At 41.5% G+C, this 20,513-nt stretch overlaps 2 protein-coding genes across 10 annotated transcripts in view, besides 1 other annotated feature; one reads left to right on the top strand and one right to left on the bottom strand.

Annotated features, from left to right (window-relative positions):
- The window catches only part of NAIP (NLR family apoptosis inhibitory protein), a 57,174-nt gene extending 52,561 nt beyond the window's left edge, over positions 1-4,613 (top strand). For all 3 annotated transcript variants that reach the window (NM_022892.2, NM_004536.3, NM_001346870.2), the window contains one exon: positions 2,311-4,613. In NM_022892.2, the coding sequence (NP_075043.1) occupies positions 2,311-2,675 (365 nt within the window). In that variant the 3' untranslated portion in view covers positions 2,676-4,613. The remainder of the gene's footprint in view (positions 1-2,310) is intronic.
- SMN1 (survival of motor neuron 1, telomeric) overlaps positions 6,404-20,513 on the bottom strand; it is a 41,435-nt gene continuing 27,325 nt past the window's right edge. For 4 of the 7 annotated variants that reach the window (XM_017009786.2, XM_011543597.2, XM_047417618.1 and 1 more), the window contains one exon: positions 19,764-20,340. In XM_017009786.2, the coding sequence (XP_016865275.1) occupies positions 20,326-20,340 (15 nt within the window). In that variant the 3' untranslated portion in view covers positions 19,764-20,325. Of the gene's footprint in view, positions 6,871-19,763; positions 20,341-20,513 lie in introns of those variants that run through there. The other 3 variants (NM_001297715.1, NM_022874.2, XM_047417615.1) reach the window with 2 other exon arrangements.
- Positions 7,818-8,509: an enhancer, noted in NCBI's record as "OCT4-NANOG-H3K27ac-H3K4me1 hESC enhancer chr5:70260097-70260788 (GRCh37/hg19 assembly coordinates)". NCBI's record gives its function as "activates a minimal SCP1, AML or CMV promoter by ChIP-STARR-seq in primed H9 embryonic stem cells {active_cell/tissue: H9 hESC(primed)}" and the evidence as "EXISTENCE:reporter gene assay evidence [ECO:0000049][PMID:30033119]".

The following is a 20,513-nucleotide window of genomic DNA, read 5'->3' as shown; positions in this document are numbered from 1 at the left end:
TGTGTTTTATTCTTCTCACTACATTAGGTCAAAGCCTTCCTTAGAACTTCAATCTCACACACAGATTTGAGCCAGTAACCCCTGTCGCTCTCCCTCCTGAGAGCAGGTGTTTTCTCTTCCCGGCGCCCAGCAGAGTATGCCTGGCCTATAGTGGGAACTCAGTAAATATTTGTTGACTGAATAAAGAAAACTTACTTTTCTGTAGCTTCTTCTGATGGACAGCTGAGAGGCCATTGTTTGCCTATAGTCAGTAATGCTTAAACTTTACCTGTAGGAGACAGCATTCAGACACATCACAGAACCGGCTAATCACACAATATGAAGTGGGAGTTATGCTGAAACAGGGGAAAGAAGGGAATGGATGTGAAAGACCTGAGTCTTTCTTCAAGTCCCTCCAGAAGTGTCTTTCATGTGGGGGAATGAGAAATATCTCTTGAATGTTACTGAAGATACCTATTCAGGACATAGCTGAAGACATTTTCTCAGTACCTCTGTTGTTTAACCTCAGTCAAGCTACAGCCATGGATTCTAGATTGAAACCAAACTTAACCTTTGCCCAAGTTAGAAAAAAAAAGAGGTTTAGCAATTAAAAACAAGGCTGGGCATGGTGGCTCATGCCTGTAATCCCAACACGTTGGGAGGCCAAGATAGAAGGACTGCTTGAGGCCAGGAGTTTGAGACAAGATTGGGCAACATAGCAAGACCTTGTCTCCATAAAAAATTGAAAAATTAGCCAAGCACGGTGGCTAGTCCTGAGTAGCTAGGACTCAGGAGGCTGAGGCGGGAGGATTGCTTGAGCCCAGAAATTCTAGGCTGCAGTGAGTTATAACTGAACCATTGCACTCCAGCCTAGGCAACCAAGTGACACCCTGTCTCAAAAAAAAAAAATTTTTTTTTTTTAAAAACCCCTAAACCAAACAACAAGAACTCTGCTTGGTACCCATTCCAAAGTCTAGTCAGCCTGTGTTCATTGAGAACACAGGGTGTGCCCGGCTTCCATTTCCTTCAGAGCCCTTAGTCTCAAAAACAGGAGGGTCCCTTCTGGGCAACAGAAATAGGGCATAGCAGTGGACAGTCGGATGACATGGCTTTAGGAATGTCACACCCCCTTCTCTATAAAAGGGGAAGACATAATTGCTACACTCTTTGAAGTCCCTTGTAATTTAGTCTGGATTTTTTTTTTTTGTTTTCTCTTTTTGTTTTTTAGACGGAGTCTTGCTCTGTCACCCAGGCTGGAGTGCAGTGGTGGGATTTTGGCTCACTGCAACCTCTACCTCCCAGGTTCAAGCTGATTCTCCTGCCTCAGCCTCCCGAGTAGCTGGGATTACAGGCATGTACCACCATATCCGGCTGATTCTTGTATTTTTAGTAGAGATGGGGTTTCACCATGTTGGCCAGCCTGGTCTCGAACTCCTGACTTCAAGTGATCTACCCACCTCGGCCTCCCAAAATGCTGGGATTACAAGCGTGAGCCACTGTGACTTGCCAATTTAGTCTGGTTTGTAGGCATGATGTGCCTTGGCATGTGACCTCCTGTGAGACCAAAAGAGAAGCTCATATTTGTCCAGGATGGTGAAACTCTCAGCACAATGGCGTCAGTGCTTTAGGCTTGGCTGTACTTCTTTGGTTTCTGCTTCTCCCTTAGATTTTTGCCAGGTGGTTCTTTATTAACCCATCAGCTCTTTGGGGTTTTTAAGGAGATATTTTCAAAATATTATATTAAGCTGGGCACAGTGACACGTGCTTGTAATCCCACCTACTTGGGAAGCTGAGGCAGGAGGATCACTTGAGTCCAGGAGTTTGAGACCAGCCTGTGATGGCCAGGCGCGGTGGCTCACGCCTGTAATCCCAGCACTTTGGGAGGCCAAGGCGGGTGGATCACAAGGTCAGGAGATCGAGACCATCCTGGCTAACACAGTGAAACCCCGTCTCTACTAAAAATACAAAAAATTAGCTGGGCATGGTGGCGGGCGCCTGTAGTCCCAGCTACTCGGGAGGCTGAGGCAGGAGAATGGCATGAACCTGGGAGGCGGAGGTTGCAGTGAGCTGAGATCATGCCACTGCACTGCAGCCTGGGTAACAGAGCGAGACTCCATCTCAAAAAAAAAAAAAAAAAAAAAAAAAGAAAGAAAGAAAAAGAGACCAGCCTGTGTTAACATAGCAAGACCCCATTTCAAAAAACAAAATTATATTGAGTACTTCCTACTAGCAGTAGTGGTGGGAGAGGAGGCTGGTTCAAATAACCTTGTCTACCATTATTGAAATGGAAGTCCTTATGATTCTATTTTCATGAATGTTTTGTTCTTGTAGCCAAAGTAGCAATCAGTGGAGGTTTCCAGAAACTTGAGAACCTAAAGCTTTCAATCAATCACAAGATTACAGAGGAAGGATACAGAAATTTCTTTCAAGCACTGGACAACATGCCAAACTTGCAGGAGTTGGACATCTCCAGGCATTTCACAGAGTGTATCAAAGCTCAGGCCACAACAGTCAAGTCTTTGAGTCAATGTGTGTTACGACTACCAAGGCTCATTAGACTGAACATGTTAAGTTGGCTCTTGGATGCAGATGATATTGCATTGCTTAATGTCATGAAAGAAAGACATCCTCAATCTAAGTACTTAACTATTCTCCAGAAATGGATACTGCCGTTCTCTCCAATCATTCAGAAATAAAAGATTCAGCTAAAAACTGCTGAATCAATAATTTGTCTTGGGGCATATTGAGGATGTAAAAAAAGTTGTTGATTAATGCTAAAAACCAAATTATCCAAAATTATTTTATTAAATATTGCATACAAAAGAAAATGTGTAAGGCTTGCTAAAAAACAAAACAAAACAAAACACAGTCCTGCATACTCACCACCAAGCTCAAGAAATAAATCATCACCAATACCTTTGAGGTCCCTGAGTAATCCACCCCAGCTAAAGGCAAACCCTTCAATCAAGTTTATACAGCAAACCCTCCATTGTCCATGGTCAACAGGGAAGGGGTTGGGGACAGGTCTGCCAATCTATCTAAAAGCCACAATATGGAAGAAGTATTCAATTTATATAATAAATGGCTAACTTAACGGTTGAATCACTTTCATACATGGATGAAACGGGTTTAACACAGGATCCACATGAATCTTCTGTGGGCCAAGAGATGTTCCTTAATCCTTGTAGAACCTGTTTTCTATATTGAACTAGCTTTGGTACAGTAGAGTTAACTTACTTTCCATTTATCCACTGCCAATATAAAGAGGAAACAGGGGTTAGGGAAAAATGACTTCATTCCAGAGGCTTCTCAGAGTTCAACATATGCTATAATTTAGAATTTTCTTATGAATCCACTCTACTTGGGTAGAAAATATTTTATCTCTAGTGATTGCATATTATTTCCATATCATAGTATTTCATAGTATTATATTTGATATGAGTGTCTATATCAATGTCAGTGTCCAGAATTTCGTTCCTACCAGTTAAGTAGTTTTCTGAACGGCCAGAAGACCATTCGAAATTCATGATACTACTATAAGTTGGTAAACAACCATACTTTTATCCTCATTTTTATTCTCACTAAGAAAAAAGTCAACTCCCCTCCCCTTGCCCAAGTATGAAATATAGGGACAGTATGTATGGTGTGGTCTCATTTGTTTAGAAAACCACTTATGACTGGGTGCGGTGGCTCACACCTGTAATCCCAGCACTTTGGGAGGCTGAGGCGGGCGAATCATTTGAGGTGAGGAATTCGAGACCAGCCTGGCCAGCATGGTGAAACCCCATCTCTACTAAAAATACAAAAATTAGCCAGGTGTGGTGGCACATGCCTGTAGTCCCAGCCACTAGGGCGGCTGAGACGCAAGACTTGCTTGAACCCGGGAGGCAGAGGTTGCAGTGAGCCAAGATGGCGCCACTGCATTCCAGCCTGGGCAACAGAGCAAGACCCTGTCTGTCTCAAAACAAAAAACAAAACCACTTATATTGCTAGCTACATTAAGAATTTCTGAATATGTTACTGAGCTTGCTTGTGGTAACCATTTATAATATCAGAAAGTATATGTACACCAAAACATGTTGAACATCCATGTTGTACAACTGAAATATAAATAATTTTGTCAATTATACCTAAATAAAACTGGAAAAAAATTTCTGGAAGTTTATATCTAAAAATGTTAATAGTGCGTACCTCTAGGAAGTGGGCCTGGAAGCCATTCTTACTTTTCAGTCTCTCCCATTCTGTACTGTTTTTTGTTTTACTTTCGTGCCTGCATTATTTTTCTATTTAAAACAAAAATAAATCTAGTTTAGCACTAAAATATTAACTGGAGCTACCTCTGGAGGGCAAGAGTACTAGAAGGTGGGATGGATTGTCTTCTTGCTTGTCTGATTTTATATGTAATACCTTTGTAATTAGAAAGGTTGTTAAGCATTATATCAGAATCCAGTCAGGAGACAGAAACCACACAGAAATTTGAATGGGGAAAGTTTAATATACAGATGCTCGGCCTGACGCAGTGGCTCACGCCTGTAATTCCAGCACTTTGGGAGGCCGAGGTGGGCAGATCACTTGAGGTCAGGAGTTCGAGACCAGCCTGGCCAACATGGTGAAATCCTGTCTCTACTAAAAATACAAAAAAAAATTAAAAAAAAAAAAAAAGCCAGGCATGGTGGTGTGCACCTGTAGTCTCAGCTACTTGGGAGGCTGAGGCAGGAGAATTGCTTGAACCCAGGAGGCAGAGGTTGCAGTGAGCCAAGATCGTGCCACTGCATTCCAGCCTGGGTGACAGAGCAAGACTCCATTTCAAATAAATAAATAAATAAATAAAATAAGATGCTCCTCAACTTACAACAGGGTTATATCCTGAAAAACCCATTGTAAGTAGAAAATATTGTATGTCAGAAATGCATTTAATATACCTAAACTACCAAACATCATCGCTTAACCTGACCTACCTTAAACACGCTGAGAACACTTATATTAGCTTACAGTTGGGCAAAATCATAAACACAAAGCCTATTTTATAATAAAGTATTGAAAATCTCACGCAATTTATTGAATACTGTACAGAAAGTGAAAAATAGAGGTCGTATGAGTACTTGAGGAACAGTTTCTACTGAATGCGGATCACTTTTGCACCATTGCAAAGTAGAAAAATCCTAAGTCAAGTCATCATGAGTTGGGGACTGTCCGTAAGAGTTATTAACAGAGGATTGGAATGGGGATTGGGTAGTAAGGAATAAAGAGAAGCCTGGGCAGATGCAGGGAACAGCCGATATGGGCTTTTCACCCCAGGCTGAGACAGAACAACTCAAAGAAGAAAGCTCAGGGCTGAGATCCGGGCTGAGATCCAGACTTCGTGTGAGAGGACACAGCTGTGAAAGACAGAGGTTTGCTGAGGCTGTGGAGTTGCAGCTGGAGAAGGTGCTGGGCTTGGGGCACTTTGCAGAGAAGGGACCTTGTGCATGTCAAGGGAAGCCATTCATGTGGGGGTACTGTGCGCTGCTGACCATTGGGTGCTGCTGAAGTTAGGCACCGCCCAAGAAGTGTGCAGCCAGAACGAGGTGCTGCAGAGGCAGAGTGTATGTGCTACAGGAGCTGGTATTGCAGATGGCACAGGTGTTGCAGGTGTCTGCCTAGAGGAGCACAATGGAACCAGGAAAAGCAGCCCTTGCCCCTTCAGTGTGTCAGCAGCACCCTCGATTGACAAAGTTTCACTCTGTGCTTACTGTCATGGGAGAGGTATTTACAGGGCCCAGATCTATTATTACAGAACAGACAATGAAGACTGAATGTGGATATAAGAGGCAACAACTAGCATAACTCATTAAATCTAATAGTGCACACATAAACACAAAATAACCTAGTAATTTCTTAATATTGACTGACAGGATATATGCACGTGATGTATTTATAAATTCATGGAAAACTTATATAAAAAACAGGCAACCATAATTGAGTTTAGGGAGGAGAACAGGATGGCTGGTGGACAGAAAAGGGAGAGAGGGAAGTTTGCTTTTTTTCTCCTGCATACCCTTTTATACCAGTTGAGTTTTGTCCCATGTGTGCATACTATTAAAAAACCATAATACTTGACCAGGTGCAGTGGCTCACGCTGGTAATCCCAGCACTTTGGGAGGCCGAGGCGGGTGGATCACCTGAGGTTGGGAGTTCGAGACCAGCCTGACCAACATGGAGAAACCTTGTCTCTACTAAAAATACAAAATTAGCCACGCATGGTGGTGCCTTCCTGTAATCCCAGCTACTCGGGAGGCTGAGGCAGGAGAATTGCTTGAACCCAGGAGGCGGAGGTTGCAGTGAGCCAAGAACGCGCTATTGCACTCTAGCCTGGGCAACAAGAGCAAAATTCTGCCTCAAAAAAAAAAAAAAAAAAAAAAATCATAAGATTCCATGCAAATTATTTTTCCAGAGCTGCTTCTAACAGCGTTTAGTTCAAGCAGCGGTCAGTAAAGTATGGCCCTGGACTGTCCAGCCCTCAAGCTAAGAATGGTTTTCACATTTTTTAAAGCAACAGAGACTCAGTGGCCTACAAAGCTAAAATATTTACTGTGTTCTTTTACAGAAAACAAACTATTTCTATGACAAAATACTTTTGAATCATAAGCTCATCATGCCCTTTATTCTAGTTTACATCAGTCTTCATAGGACTCCCAAGTCATCCCTCATTGACCTAAAAACTGTCCTCATGGTTGTAAGCCCTCCCTCCCTTCCTCCATCCATCTCTCCCTCTCTCTTTTTCTCCTTCCCTCTCTCCCTTCCTTCCTTTTCTTTCATAAAGAAAAGAGGTTTAGTTGACTCACGGTTCTGCAGGCTTTACAGGAAGCATGGTGCTGGCATCTGCTCGGCTTTTAGGGAGGCCTCAGGAAACTAAAATCATGGCAGAAGGTGAGCACACATGTCACATGATGAAAGCAGAAACAAGTGAGAGACAGTGGGGGGGCAGGGGGCAGGTTTCATACACTTTGAAATGACCAGATCTCACGAGAACTCAGTAACAACACAAAGGTAACACCAAGCCATGAGGGATCTGCCCCCATGATCCAAACACCTCCCACCATGCCCCATCTCCAACACTCGGGATAAAATTCAACATAAGTAGAGATAAATATCCAAACCACATCATTCCACCTCTGGCCCCTCCCAAATCTTATGTCCTTTTCACAATGCAAAATACAACCATGCCTTCCCAACAGTGCCGCAAAGTCTTAACTCATTCCAGCATTAACTCAGGAATCCAAAGTCTCATCTGAGACAAGGCAAATCCCTGCCACCTATGAGCCTATAAAATAAAAAACAAATTATTTACTTCCAACATACAATCAGGGTTCAGGGATTGGGGAAATATTCCCATTAGGGAAAAACCTGCCAAAAAAGGGGGCTATAGGCCCCATGCAAGTTCAAAACCCAGCATGGCAGTCATTAAATCATGAAACTCCACAATGATCTCCTTGGTTTCCATGTGGCACGCTGATATGAGGGTTGGGCTCCCAAGGCCTTGGGCAGCTCTGCTCCTATAGCTTTGCAGAGTTCAGCCTGCTGTCACAGGCTGGGTTGAGTGTCTGTGGCTTTTCCAAGTGCAGGGTACAAGCTGCCAGTGGCTCTACCATTCTGGAGAACAGTAGCCCTCTTCTCACAGCTCCACTAGGCAGTGCCCCAGTAGGGACTCTGCGTGGGGCCTTTAACCCCACATTTCCCCTCCATGCTGCCCTAGTAGAGGCTCTCTGTGAGGGCTCTGCTCCTGCAGCAGGGTTCTGCTTGGACACCCAGGCTTTTCCATACATCCTCTGAAATCCAGGCAGAGGCTACCAAGAATTCACCATTTTTGCATTCTGTGTGCCTGCAGGCTTACCACCTAATGGAAGCTGTGAAGGCTATGGCTTATGCCCTCCAAAGTAACAGCCCAAGCTGTACCTAGGCCCCTTTGAGCCCCTGCTGGAGTTGGAGCCATCTGGATGCAGGGAGCAGTGTTCTGAGGCTGCACAGGGCAACAGGGCCCTGGGCTCAGCCCAGGAAAATATTCAGTCTTCCTTGGCTTCAGGGCCTATGACAGGAGGGGCTGCCCCATAGGTCTCTGAAATGCCTTTGAGGCCTTTTCCCCATTGTCTTGGATATTACCACTTGGATCCCTTTCAGTTATGCAAATATCAGCAAGTGGTTGCTCCACAGCCTGCTTGAATTCCTTGGAGAAAATGGTTTTTTTTTTTACCACCTGGCTAGGCTGCAAAATTTCCCAACTTTTAGGCTCTGCTTCCTGTTTAAATGTAAGTTCCAAATTTAAGTCATTCATTTGCCCCCACATCTGAGCACAGGCTGTTAGTAGCAGAAGGCCACATCTTGAATGCTTTGCTGCTTAGAAATTTCTTCTGCCACATACGCTAGGTCATAGTTTTTAAGTTCAAACTTCCACAGATCCCTAGGACACAAGCAGAATGCAGCCAAGTTATTTGCTAAGGCATAACGTGTGACTTTTGCTCCAGTTCCCAATAAATTCGTTTCCTTTTGAGACCTTGTCAACCTGGACTTCACTGTCCCTATCACCATCAGCATTTTGGTCACAACCACTTATCTAGTCTCTAAGAAGTTCCAAACTTGCCGGGAGCGGTGGCTCACGCCTGTAAACCTAGCACTTTGGGAGGTCGAGGTGGGTGAATCACTTGAGGTCAGGAGTTCGAGACCAGCCTGGCCAACATGGTGAAACCCCATCCTTACTAAAAATACAAAAATATTAGCCAGGCATGGTGGTGCATGCCTGTAACCCCAGCTGCTTGGGAAGCTGAGGCAGAAAATCACTTGAACCCGGGAGGCAGAGGTTGCAGTGAGCCAAGATCACGCCACTGCACTCCAGCCTGGGCGACAGAGCAAGACTCCGTCTCAAAAAAAAAAAAAAAAAAAAAAAAGTTTGAAACTTACCCTCATTTTCCTGTCTTCTTCTGAGCCCTGTAAACTCTTCCAACCACTACTCATTACCCAGTTCCAAAGCTGTTTCCACATTTTCAGGTATCTTTATAGCAATGCCCAACTTCTCGGTACCAATTTTCTGTATTGGGGCATTCTTGCACTGCTATAAAGAAATACCTCAAACTGGGTAATTTACAAAGAGGTTTAATTGGCTCATGGTTCTGCAGGCTTTACAGGAAGCATGGTGCTGGCATCTGCTTGGCTTCTAGGGAGACCTCAGGAAGCTTACAGTCATGGTGGAAGGTGAAGGGGTAGCAGACACATCACATGGTAAAAGCAGGGGCAAGTGAGAGAGCTAAACTCCCGCTTTCTGATCACATATCCCAACCTGCTCCAACTCCCTAAATCCTTCCACTGTGTCTACATGGTAGAATCTCCTACATCCACAACTTCTTATGTCAACTTTCCTTCTATTTCTTGATCTAACTCCTCATTCTCAAGCTTTTTTTTTAACCATGACCCACAATAATAAATTTTACATCAAAACACCATACGCACATACATACACACACATATTATATGTGTATACACAACTGAAGTCCCACAAAAACAAACCTTACTAAAATAAAGCTATATCAGATATGATTTTATTAATAGCCAAATAAACAAAAATTCAGAAATACAAAGTTCCGTGAAAGAGTTGTTTACATGCACTGTCAACTGTTCTCTCATTCTTATGTTCTCTCCCTCCAGGATTTTACCTCCTCCATTCCACCAACACAGCTCTTATGAGGGTCACCAATGAGCTCCACATTGCTAAATTGGTGAATACTTCTCAGTCCTCACTTTAGTTGACCCATTAGCAGCATGTGACCTATTGGCTTTCACATGGCCCATCACCCCTCTTCCTCAAAACACTGCCTTCATTTGGCTTCCAGGGCATCCCTCTTGATTTTCCTAACTCAATGAGAGCTCCTCCTTAGTCTCCTGCACTGTTTTTCCTCATATCCTATCTCTAACCACTGAGAGAACCCCAAAGTTCTCCTCTGACATCTTCTCTATTTGAATGCACTTCCTCAGCTATCTCCTCTAGTTCAACAGCTTTAAATTTACTAACTTCTACATTTCCATCTCTAGCCCAGACCTCTCCTCTGAACTATTTTTTTATTTTATAATATAGACGGGGTCTCACTTTGTTGCCCAGTCTGGTCTTGAACTCCTGGGCTCACATGATTCTCCTGCCTTGGCCTCCCAAAGTGCTGAGATTACAGGCATGAGGCATTGCACCTGGCCTGGACTCTTTATTCACATCCAACTTCTACTAATGGGCATCTCAATTTTCACATGTTCAAAACCCAATTTCTTTCCTGCCACAAAAGTACTCCTTATGCAGACCTCCATCTCATTAAATTCTAACTTTATTTTTCCAGTTGCATAAGCCAAAAATCTCGGAGTTACACTTGACACTCCTCTTTCATACACCACATGTAATCAATCTACTGAAAAATCCTGGTGGCTCCACTTGGAAAATATACTCAGATCCAACCACCACTACCCACACTGGCTCTAACTAGTCAGCCTGTTTCCTCCCTTCAAACCTATGGTGTATTTTCAACACAGCAATCAGAAGTCTCTTTCTGTAAGTCAGATCATGCTATACCTTGGGTTCAAAACCTTTCCATGGACTCCCAGCTTAAAAAAGTAAATGCTGAAGACCTTACTATCGCTGACATATGGCCTGGCCCTTGACTACCTCTCTTAGCTCCATCTCCTTAATCTCTCCTCCTTACTTCCACTCCAGCCACGATTAACTCCTTGTTGTTCCCCAAACATGTTAAATACACTTGTGTCTTAGGGCCTTTCTATTTGTTATCTCCCTTGCCTGGGATACTCTCCCTCTAGTTGTACCTAGAACAGTTGAATCATCGCATAATTGCTAAAAGGACAAGTGACCATGTGACAACGTTCTTTCATCTTTTATGCTTGTAACACCAGAATTTACTTGAAAAAGTTTGTAAGTGGACAAGTATGAAAGACAGATATGTACACAAAGTAACAGGAAGGTAAAGATGATGTGAAAAATGAAAACCAATCCACTGAAAGTCATTCTAATTGGTATTTATAAATGTAAAAACAAAAATGTTTTGCTGTTATGTAACAAAGAATATAGCCATCATCTATCACTTCAACAAAACTATGAGCCCTAAAGTTTTCAGAAGTATTGCAGTTTGGACAGGTGTGGTGGCTCATGCCTACCGTCCCCAGCACTTTGGAAGGCAGGAAGATCACTTGAGGCCAGGTGTTCAAGGCCAGCCTGGGCAACACAGTGAGACCCTATTTCTACAAAAAATAAAAATAAATTAAAAAACAAAAAGTATTGCATTTTGACAAAGTGAGTTCATGAAGAATACAAATAATAAGGTAGAACATAGTAGAGATGCATTTGAAATCCAAAATCCGTATTTAAAGGTAGGTATGTTCCAGATTCATGCATAATGACAGCTGCTTTCAAAGGATGTAATGCCTTTTAGGTATACATAAACATTCAAAACTGGGAAAATATGGGAAAAAATGTGGGTCTCCTATATTTGGATTCTCATTAAAATTGCTAACAAAGTTAATTTTCACCATCCCTTTATTCTTCTGTAAATTGTTTATAAAATGACTTGAAAAAGAATGCAGTCAATTCTCATTACTTGAGGTAGTTATGTTCTATGAAGTTGCCACAAACACGCAAATTAGTGAATACTGAGCCATTGCTCCTAACAGAAATACAGGGTTAGGTTCTTGTAAGCCTTTGGTCACATTTTCACCAACTTATAAATACGTAAGCTTGTTTTATATCTGTTTCTGTTTAAAGACACATTATTTAATAAATATAGACCTGGCATGGTGGCTCATATCTGTAATCCCAGCACTCTGGGATGCCAAGGTGGGTGGATCACTTGAGGTCAGGAGTTCAAGACTGGCCTACCCAACATGGTAAAACCCCACCTCTACTAAAAATACAAAAATTATGCTGGGTGCAGTGGCGGGTGCCTATAATCCCAGCTACTGAGAAGACTGAGGCAGGAGAATCGTTTGAACCCGGGAGGAGGAGGTTGCAGTGAGCCGAGATTATGCCATTGCACTCCAGCCTGGGTGACAGAGTGAGACTCCATCTCAAAAAATATAATAATAAATAGTGATGACTCATCATCATCTAACTCCCACTCAACAGCACTATAACTCATGACTAAACAAAGGTTATCTAACACATGTATTCTCTAAGGCACCTCACAGCCCGCATGCACCTTGGAATACCACTATATAGCACTTCAGCACAATGCTTGGGAATCACTTTAAACAGTAAAATCACAAACAGAAGGCACAAAAATGTGAAAAATGTAGAACTATATAAACTGCTTTCGAAAAGGACACTTGTTTATAATAAGAAAGCTACACAAAAAACTGAGCACTGTTCAACCCCAGCTGGGAATATCTGGATAAGGTTCTCAAATTTTTCACCTCTGTGTATGTCCATGAAAAACCATGAAACTGCCATGAGTATTGATGTTAGGTTACAAATAAATTTTAGCAAGTAGGTGCCTTTACAAATACAGATTCTACAAATAAAGAGAATTGACTGTAAATAAAATTTTATAAGCAAAAACTCTGAAAATAAAAACAAATAGTTAAAATGGTAATGGGAAGACGATATAAACAACAGAAAATTAAAAGTTCTTAAACACATGAAAAGGTGCTGAACTTCACAATAAAATAAAAATGTACAAATATGAGATAATCATTTTTAACTATTCAATTGACAAAGATTCAAAGGTTTGATAAATTATTGGCTATTTTGCAGGAAACAAACTCTCCATGTTGGTATAAATATAGATTAATATAACCTCTACTGAAAACAATTTAGCAAACTTTTATTTACAATTTAAATGTAGGTCGGGCACGGTGGCTCATGCCTGTAATCCCAGCACTTTGGGAGGCCAAGGCGAGCAGATCACAAGGTCAGGAGTTCAAGATCAGCCTGGCCAACATGGTGAAACCCCGTCTCTACTAAAAAAATACAAAAATTAGCCGGGCATGGTGGCGTGTGCCTGTAATCCTAGCTACTCAGGAGGCTGAGGCAGGAGCACTGCTTGAACCTGGGAGGCGGAGGTTGCGGTGAGCTGAGATCACGCCATTGCACTCCAGCCTGGGCAACAGAGCAAGACTCCGTATCAAAAAAAAAAAAAAAACAATTTAAATGCAATAGCCTCTTCAACACAGTAGTTCTAATTCTAGATACTTAATCCTAAAGATGCTGACTGTACTATTAAATAACAAATGATTAGAAACAAATTAAACTCTCATCCACAAGAGCTCAATTCATTAAGCGTGGTACACATCTGTAAGAATATCCTGTAAGTGCTTAAAAGAATGAGAGCTTTTTTTTAAATTTTTAATTTTTGCATTTTTCTTATTTTATTTTATTATTATACTTTAAGTTTTAGGGTACATGTGCACAATGTGCAGGTTAGTTACATATGTATACATGTGCCATGCTGGTGTGCTGCACCCATTAACTCGTCATTTAGCATTAGATATATCTCCTAATGCTATCCCTCCCCATTCCCCCCACCCCACAACAGTCCCCAGAGTGTGATGTTCCCCTTCCTGTGTCCATGTGTTCTCATTGTTCAATTCCCACCTATGAGTGAGAACATGCGGTGTTTGGTTTTTTGTCCTTGCGATAGTTTACTGAGAATGATGATTTCCAATTTCATCCATGTCCCTACAAAGGACATGAACTCATCATTTCTTATGGTTGCACAGTATTCCATGGTGTATATGTGCCATATTTTCTTAATCCAGTCTATCATTGTTGGACATTTGGGTTCGTTCCAAGTCTTTGCTATTGTGAATAGTGCCGCAATAAACATACGTGTGCATGTGTCTTCATAGCAGCATGATTTATAGTCCTTTGGGTATATACCCAGTAATGGGATGGCTGGGTCAAATGGTATTTCTAGTTCTAGATCCCTGAGGAATCACCACACTGACTTCCACAATGGTTGAACCAGTTTACAGAACTCTCCACCCCACATCAACAGAATATACATTTTTTTCAGCACCACACCACACCTATTCCAAAATTGACCACATAGTTGGAAGTAAAGCTCTCCTCAGCAAACGTAAAAGAACAGAAATTATAACAAACTGTCTCTCAGACCACAGTGCAATCAAACTAGAACTCAGGAATAAGAAACTCACTCAAAACCACTCAACTACATGGAAACTGAACAACCTGCTCCTGAATGACTACTGGGTACATAACGAAATGAAGGCAGAAATAAAGATGTTCTTTGAAACCAACGAGAACAAAGACACAACATACCAGAATTTCTGGGACACATTCAAAGCAGTGTGTAGAGGGAAATTTATAGCACTAAATGCCCACAAGAGAAAGCAGGAAAGATCCAAAATTGACACCCTAACATCACAATTAAAAGAACTAGAAAAGCAAGAGCAAACACATTCAAAAGCTAGCAGAAGGCAAGAAATAACTAAAATCAGAGCAGAGCTGAAGGAAATAGAGACACAAAAAACCCTTCAAAAAATTAATCCAGGAGCTGGTTTTTGGAAAGGATCAACAAAATTGATAGACCGCTAGCAAGACTAATAAAGAAGAAAAGAGAGAAGAATCAAATAGACGCAATAAAAAATGATAAAGGGGATATCACCACCGATCCCACAGAAATACAAACTACCATCAGAGAATACTATAAACACTTCTACGCAAATAAACTAGAAAATCTAGAAGAAATGGATAAATTCCTCGACACATACACCCTCCCAAGACTAAACCAGGAAGAAGTTGAATCTCTAAATGGACCAATAACAGGCTCTGAAATTGTGGCAATAATCAATAGCTTACCAACCAAAAAGAGTCCAGGACCAGATGGATTCACAGCCGAATTCTACCAGAGGTACAAGGAGGAACTGGTACCATTCCTTCTGAAATTATTCCAATCAATAGAAAAAGAGGGAATCCTCCCTAACTCATTTTATGAGGCCAGCATCATCCTGATACCAAAGCCAGGCAGAGACACAACCAAAAAAGAGAATTTTAGACTAATATCCTTGATGAACATTGATGCAAAAATCATCAATAAAATACTGGCAAACCGAATCCAGCAGCACATCAAAAAGCTTATCCAGCATGATCAAGTGGGCTTCATCCCTGGGATGCAAGGCTGGTTCAACATACGCAAATCAATAAATGTAATCCAGCATATAAACAGAACCAAAGACAAAAACCACATGATTATCTCAATAGATGCAGAAAAGGCCTTTGACAAAATTCAACAATCCTTCATGCTAAAAACTCTCAATAAATGAGGTATTGATGGGACGTATCTCAAAATAATAAGAGCTATCTATGACAAACCCACAGCCAATATCATACTGAATGGGCAAAAACTGGAAGCATTCCCTTTGAAAACACGCACAAGACAGGGATGCCCTCTCTCACCACTCCTATTCAACATAGTGTTGGAAGTTCTGGCCAGGGCAATTAGGCAGGAGAAAGAAATAACGGGTATTCAATTAGGAAAAGAGGAAGCCAAATTGTCCCTGTTTGCAGATTACATGATTGTATATCTAGAAAACCCCATTGTCTCAGCCCAAAATCTCCTTAAGCTGATAAGCAACTTCAGCAAAGTCTCAGGATACAAAATCAATGTACAAAAATCACAAGCATTCTTATACAGCAATAACAGACAAACAGAGAGCCAAATCATGAGTGAACTCCCATTCACAATTGCTTCAAAGAGAATAAAATACCTAGGAATCCAACTTACAAGGGATGTGAAGGACCTCTTCAAGGAGAACTACAAACCACTGCTCAATGAAATAAAAGAGGATACAAACAAATGGAAGAACATTCCATGCTCATGGGTAGGAAGAATCAATATCGTGAAAATGGCCATACTGCCCAAGGTAATTTACAGATTCAATGCCATCCCCATCAAGCTACCAATGACTTTCTTCACAGAATTGGAAAAAACTACTTTAAAGTTCATATGGAACCAAAAAAAAGCCCGCATCGCCAAGTCAATCCTAAGCCAAAAGAACAAAGCTGGAGGCATCACGCTACCTGACTTCAAACTATACTACAAGGCTACAGTGACCAAAACAGCATGGTACTGGTACCAAAACAGAGATATAGACCAATGGAACAGAACAGAGCTCTCAGAAATAACGCCGCATATCTACAACTATCTGATCTTTGACAAACCTGAGAAAAACAAGCAATGGGGAAAGGATTCCCTATTTAATAAATGGTGCTGGGAAACTGGCTAGCCATATGTAGAAAGCTGAAACTGGATCCCTTCCTTACACCTTATACAAAAATTAATTCAAGATGGATTAAAGACTTAAATGTTAGACCTAAAACCATAAAAACCCTAGAAGAAAACCTAGGCATTACCATTCAGGACATAGGCATGGGCAAGGACTTCATGTCTAAAACACCAAAAGCAACGGCAACAAAAGCCAAAACTGGGATCTAATTAAACTAAAGAGCTTCTGCACAGCAAAAGAAACTACCATCAGAGTGAACAGGCAACCTACAAAATGGGAGAAAATTTTTGCAATCTACTCATCTGACAAAGGGCTAATATCCAGAATCTACAACGAACTCAAACAAATTTACAAGAAAAAAACAGACAACCCCATCAAAAAGTGGGCGAAGGACATGAACAGACACTTCTCAAAAGAAGACATTTATGCAGCTAAAAAACACATGAAAAAATGCTCACCATCACTGGCCATCAGAGAAATGCAAATCAAAACCACAATAAGATACCATCTCACACCAGTTAGAATGGCAATCATTAAAAAGTCAGGAAACAACGGGTGCTGGAGAGGATGTGGAGAAATAGGAAGAATGAGAGTTTTAAATACTGATATGGTGTGTTCTCCAAGATATATTGACAGAAAAGCACTTATCTATTGAAGAACATTATATGAATTACCTCTAAAGATAAAAAATTTTAAAAGTTCAAAAAGGGTAATGATGATATATCATGACAGAACTTAATTACTTTTTTTCTTTTTGAGACAGTCACTGAGTCACCCAGGCTGGAGTGTAGTGGCATGATCTTGGCTCACTGCAACCTCCGCCTCCTGGGTTCAAGTGATTCTCATGCTTCAGCCTCTCCAGTAGCTGGGATTACAGGCGCCCACCACCATGCCGAGCTAATTTTTTTTTTGTATTTTTAGTAGAGATGGGGTTTCACCATGTTGGGCCAGGCTGGTCTCGAACTACCGACCTCAGGTGATCCACCCACCTCAGCCTCTCAAAGTGCTAGGATTACAGGTATGAGCCACCATGCCTGGCCTTAATTACATGTTTTTTAAAAATTCACAATAAATGTATACACAAACATTTTAAAAAACACAAAAGGGTACACTGTGAAAAGTGTACAGAAGGGCTGGGCATGGTGATTCATGCCTGTAATCCTAGCACTTTGGGAGCCCGAGGTGGGAGAATGGCTTGAACCCAGGAACTCGAGACCAGCTTGGGCAACATAGATCATGTCACTACCAAAAAAAAAAAAAAGTGTACAGAAGCAGAGTTGCTCTTGTTTTTTGTTTGTTGCTTTGGTTTGGTTTTTTTTTTTGAGACAGGGTCTCAGTCTGTTGCCCAGGCTGAAGTGCAATGGTGTGAACATGGCTCATTATACAGCCTCAACCTCCTGTACTCAAGTGATCCTTTTGCCTCAGCCTCTCCAGTAGCTGGGACTACAGGCATGCACCACCATGCCTTGCTAATTCTTTCATTTTTTGTAGAGTCAGGGGTTTTGCGTTGTTGCTTATGCTGGTCTTGAACTCCTGGGCTCAAGTGATCCGCCTGTCTCGTCCTCCCAAAATGCTGGGATTACAGGTGTAAGCCACCGTGCCTGGCCCAGAGTTGCTCTTAGTAACGTGTTTTGTTTTTTTTTTTTTTTTTTTTTTTTTTTTTTTTTTTTTTTTTTTTTTTTTTGAGACGGAGTCTCGCTTTTTAGCCCAGGCTTGAGTACAGTGGCACAATCTCGGCTCACCACAACCTCCACCTCCCGGGTTCAAGCAATTCTCCTGCCTCAGCCTCCCAAGTAGCTGGGACTACAGGCGCGTGCCACCATGCCGGGCTAATTTTTGTATTTTTAGTAGAGACAGGGTTTTACTATGTTGGCCAGGCTGGTCTGGAACTCCTGATCTCAGGTGATCCACCCGCCTCGGCCTCCCAAAGTGCTGGGATTACAGGTGTGAGCTGCCGCGCCCAGCTGCTCTTAGTAACTTCTGGAATTTGATGTCTAAATTGAATCCATTATTTCAAACATCACAAGACTTAAGTTCATAAAAACTTTTTTAAAAAGTTAACTCTGGGTCAGGCGTAGTGGCTCAAGCTTGTAATCCCAGCACTTTGGGAGGCCGAGGCAGGTGGATTACCTGGGGTCAGGAGTTCCAGACCAGCCTGGCCAACGTGGCGAAACCACGTCTCTACTACTAAAAATACAAAAATTAGCCAGGCATAGTGGCACATGCCTGTAGTCCCAGCTGCTCGGGAGGCTGAGGCAGGAGAATTGCTTGAACCTGGGAGGCAGAGGTTGCAGTGAGCTGAAATTGCGCCACTGCACTCCAGCTTGGGTGAGAGTTAGACTGTATCAAAAACAAAAAGAAATTAACTCTGTAGTTTATTTCTGTTAATGGCAACCCTGCAGAAAAGTTAAACTTAGAATATGTCTCAAAGTAATCTCTGTCTGATCCCTTAATGAAGGATCTCTTCAAACACAGCAACTTTTGTCTGTCTTCTGAATGTAGGTACAGCTGTGGCTGTAGAACAGACCATGTAATTTTCATCTAGATTCCTTACAACCACAAGGACAATTATTACAATGAAAGCCAGAGAACTAGCTCAGTTTTGATTTTATTACTAGGATAAATCCAGCCAGGTAGTGTGGTGGCTTTGATGTTTTCTGTCTATATCTAAGGGGGAAGCTGCTTCATTATTCGATATTAAGATAAATAGGGCCTAAAAATAGTCCTAGGTCAAACACCATTATGATTAACTCAACTTTCAAAACCATTTACCTAATGTAGGATTTGTTAATAAGTCTTCTTCAAAATTAGCAAGAAATACAACTAATGCCTAACCCGTCATGATGAATTAAAGACTGATCCAAAAATAACTGACAGTTCTCTTCCAGTTGCCCTCTTCTTTGACAATCCCACCAGTCTATGCTCTAAGCTCACGCTTGACTTCCAAAAACTGCCAGATATTGTAGACACCATGAAGAATAAGATGTACTACCTTTTCTCTAATGAAAGAGGAAATACAGATATAAACAATATATAAACATAATATAATGTGAAAAGCTATGTATAGAAATAAATAGAGAGGCCGTGTGCGGTGGCTCACGGCTGTAATCCCAGCACTTTGGGAGGCCAGGGTGGTCGAATCACTTGAGGGCAGGAGTTTGAGACCAGCCTGGCCAACATGGTGAAACTCCATCTCTACTAAAAATACAAAACTTAGTGGGGCATGGTGCCACATGCCTGTAATCCCAACTACTCACGTGGCTGAGGCACGAGAACCGCTTGAACCCGGATAGCACAGGTTGCAGTGAGCTGAGATTGCACCACTGCACTCCAGCGTGGGCAGCAGAGCGAGACTCTGTCTCAAAAACAAACAAAAATAAGAATATGTAAAGACATGAAAAATGTGACATTAAGTGGGAATACACATGCACATACACAAAATGCTATGGTGGCATCCATATCAAAATATGGGCCAAAGGGCAAAATAATATGCAAAAAAGAAATACAATCACAGATACAGCTAATTTAAAAAAAAATTAAATATTTTTATTATATACTTTTAAACATATAGAAGATAGAAAAAAACAGTACAATGAACAGCCATGTCCACCAGTTAGATTCTGTAACATTTTGCCACATACGCCTCACATACATTTTGTTAAACCATTTGAAACATTTTAAGACACTCTAACACTTCATTCCTAAATGCTTAAGTATGCAAATTAAGACAGTCTTTTATAAACTACAACACCCTTCTCACAGCTCATAAAATTACCAATAATTATCCAATATCATTCAAAATCTAATCCACATTCAAATTTTCTCAACTGCCTCACCACCGTGCTGGCCTCCCACCCCCACCCCAGTCTTTTACAGATGGTTTTTCAAAATAGAGTCCAGTAAAATATTTCACATTGCATTTGGTTATTACATAACTTTTAATCAAGAAGAGTTACCCATTCCACTTCCTTTTTTCTTTCCCAACACTTGATATTTTGAAGAAATGAGGCCAGTTATCTTCTATAACGCTTCACATTCCAGATCTGTCTGATCGTTTCTTTAGTGGTGTCATTTAGTGCTGCTCTATGCCAGCATTTCCTGCAAATGAGAAATTAGAACCAGAGGCTTGACGAATTCCAGTTAAACCATGTCCTCTGTGGACACCAGTTAAACTTGACTAGAGCACTTCATATGTCAGAGTGTACAGTGCAGTATGCCTAGGTTATCCCATATCACAATAAAAAAAAGTCTGCTGGTCTGCCTACTAGTGA

The sequence above is a fragment of the Homo sapiens genome, chromosome 5 (assembly GCF_000001405.40).
Source record: "Homo sapiens chromosome 5, GRCh38.p14 Primary Assembly".
Lineage (NCBI taxonomy): Eukaryota > Metazoa > Chordata > Mammalia > Primates > Hominidae > Homo > Homo sapiens.
This window is presented reverse-complemented; position numbering and strand designations above follow the sequence as displayed.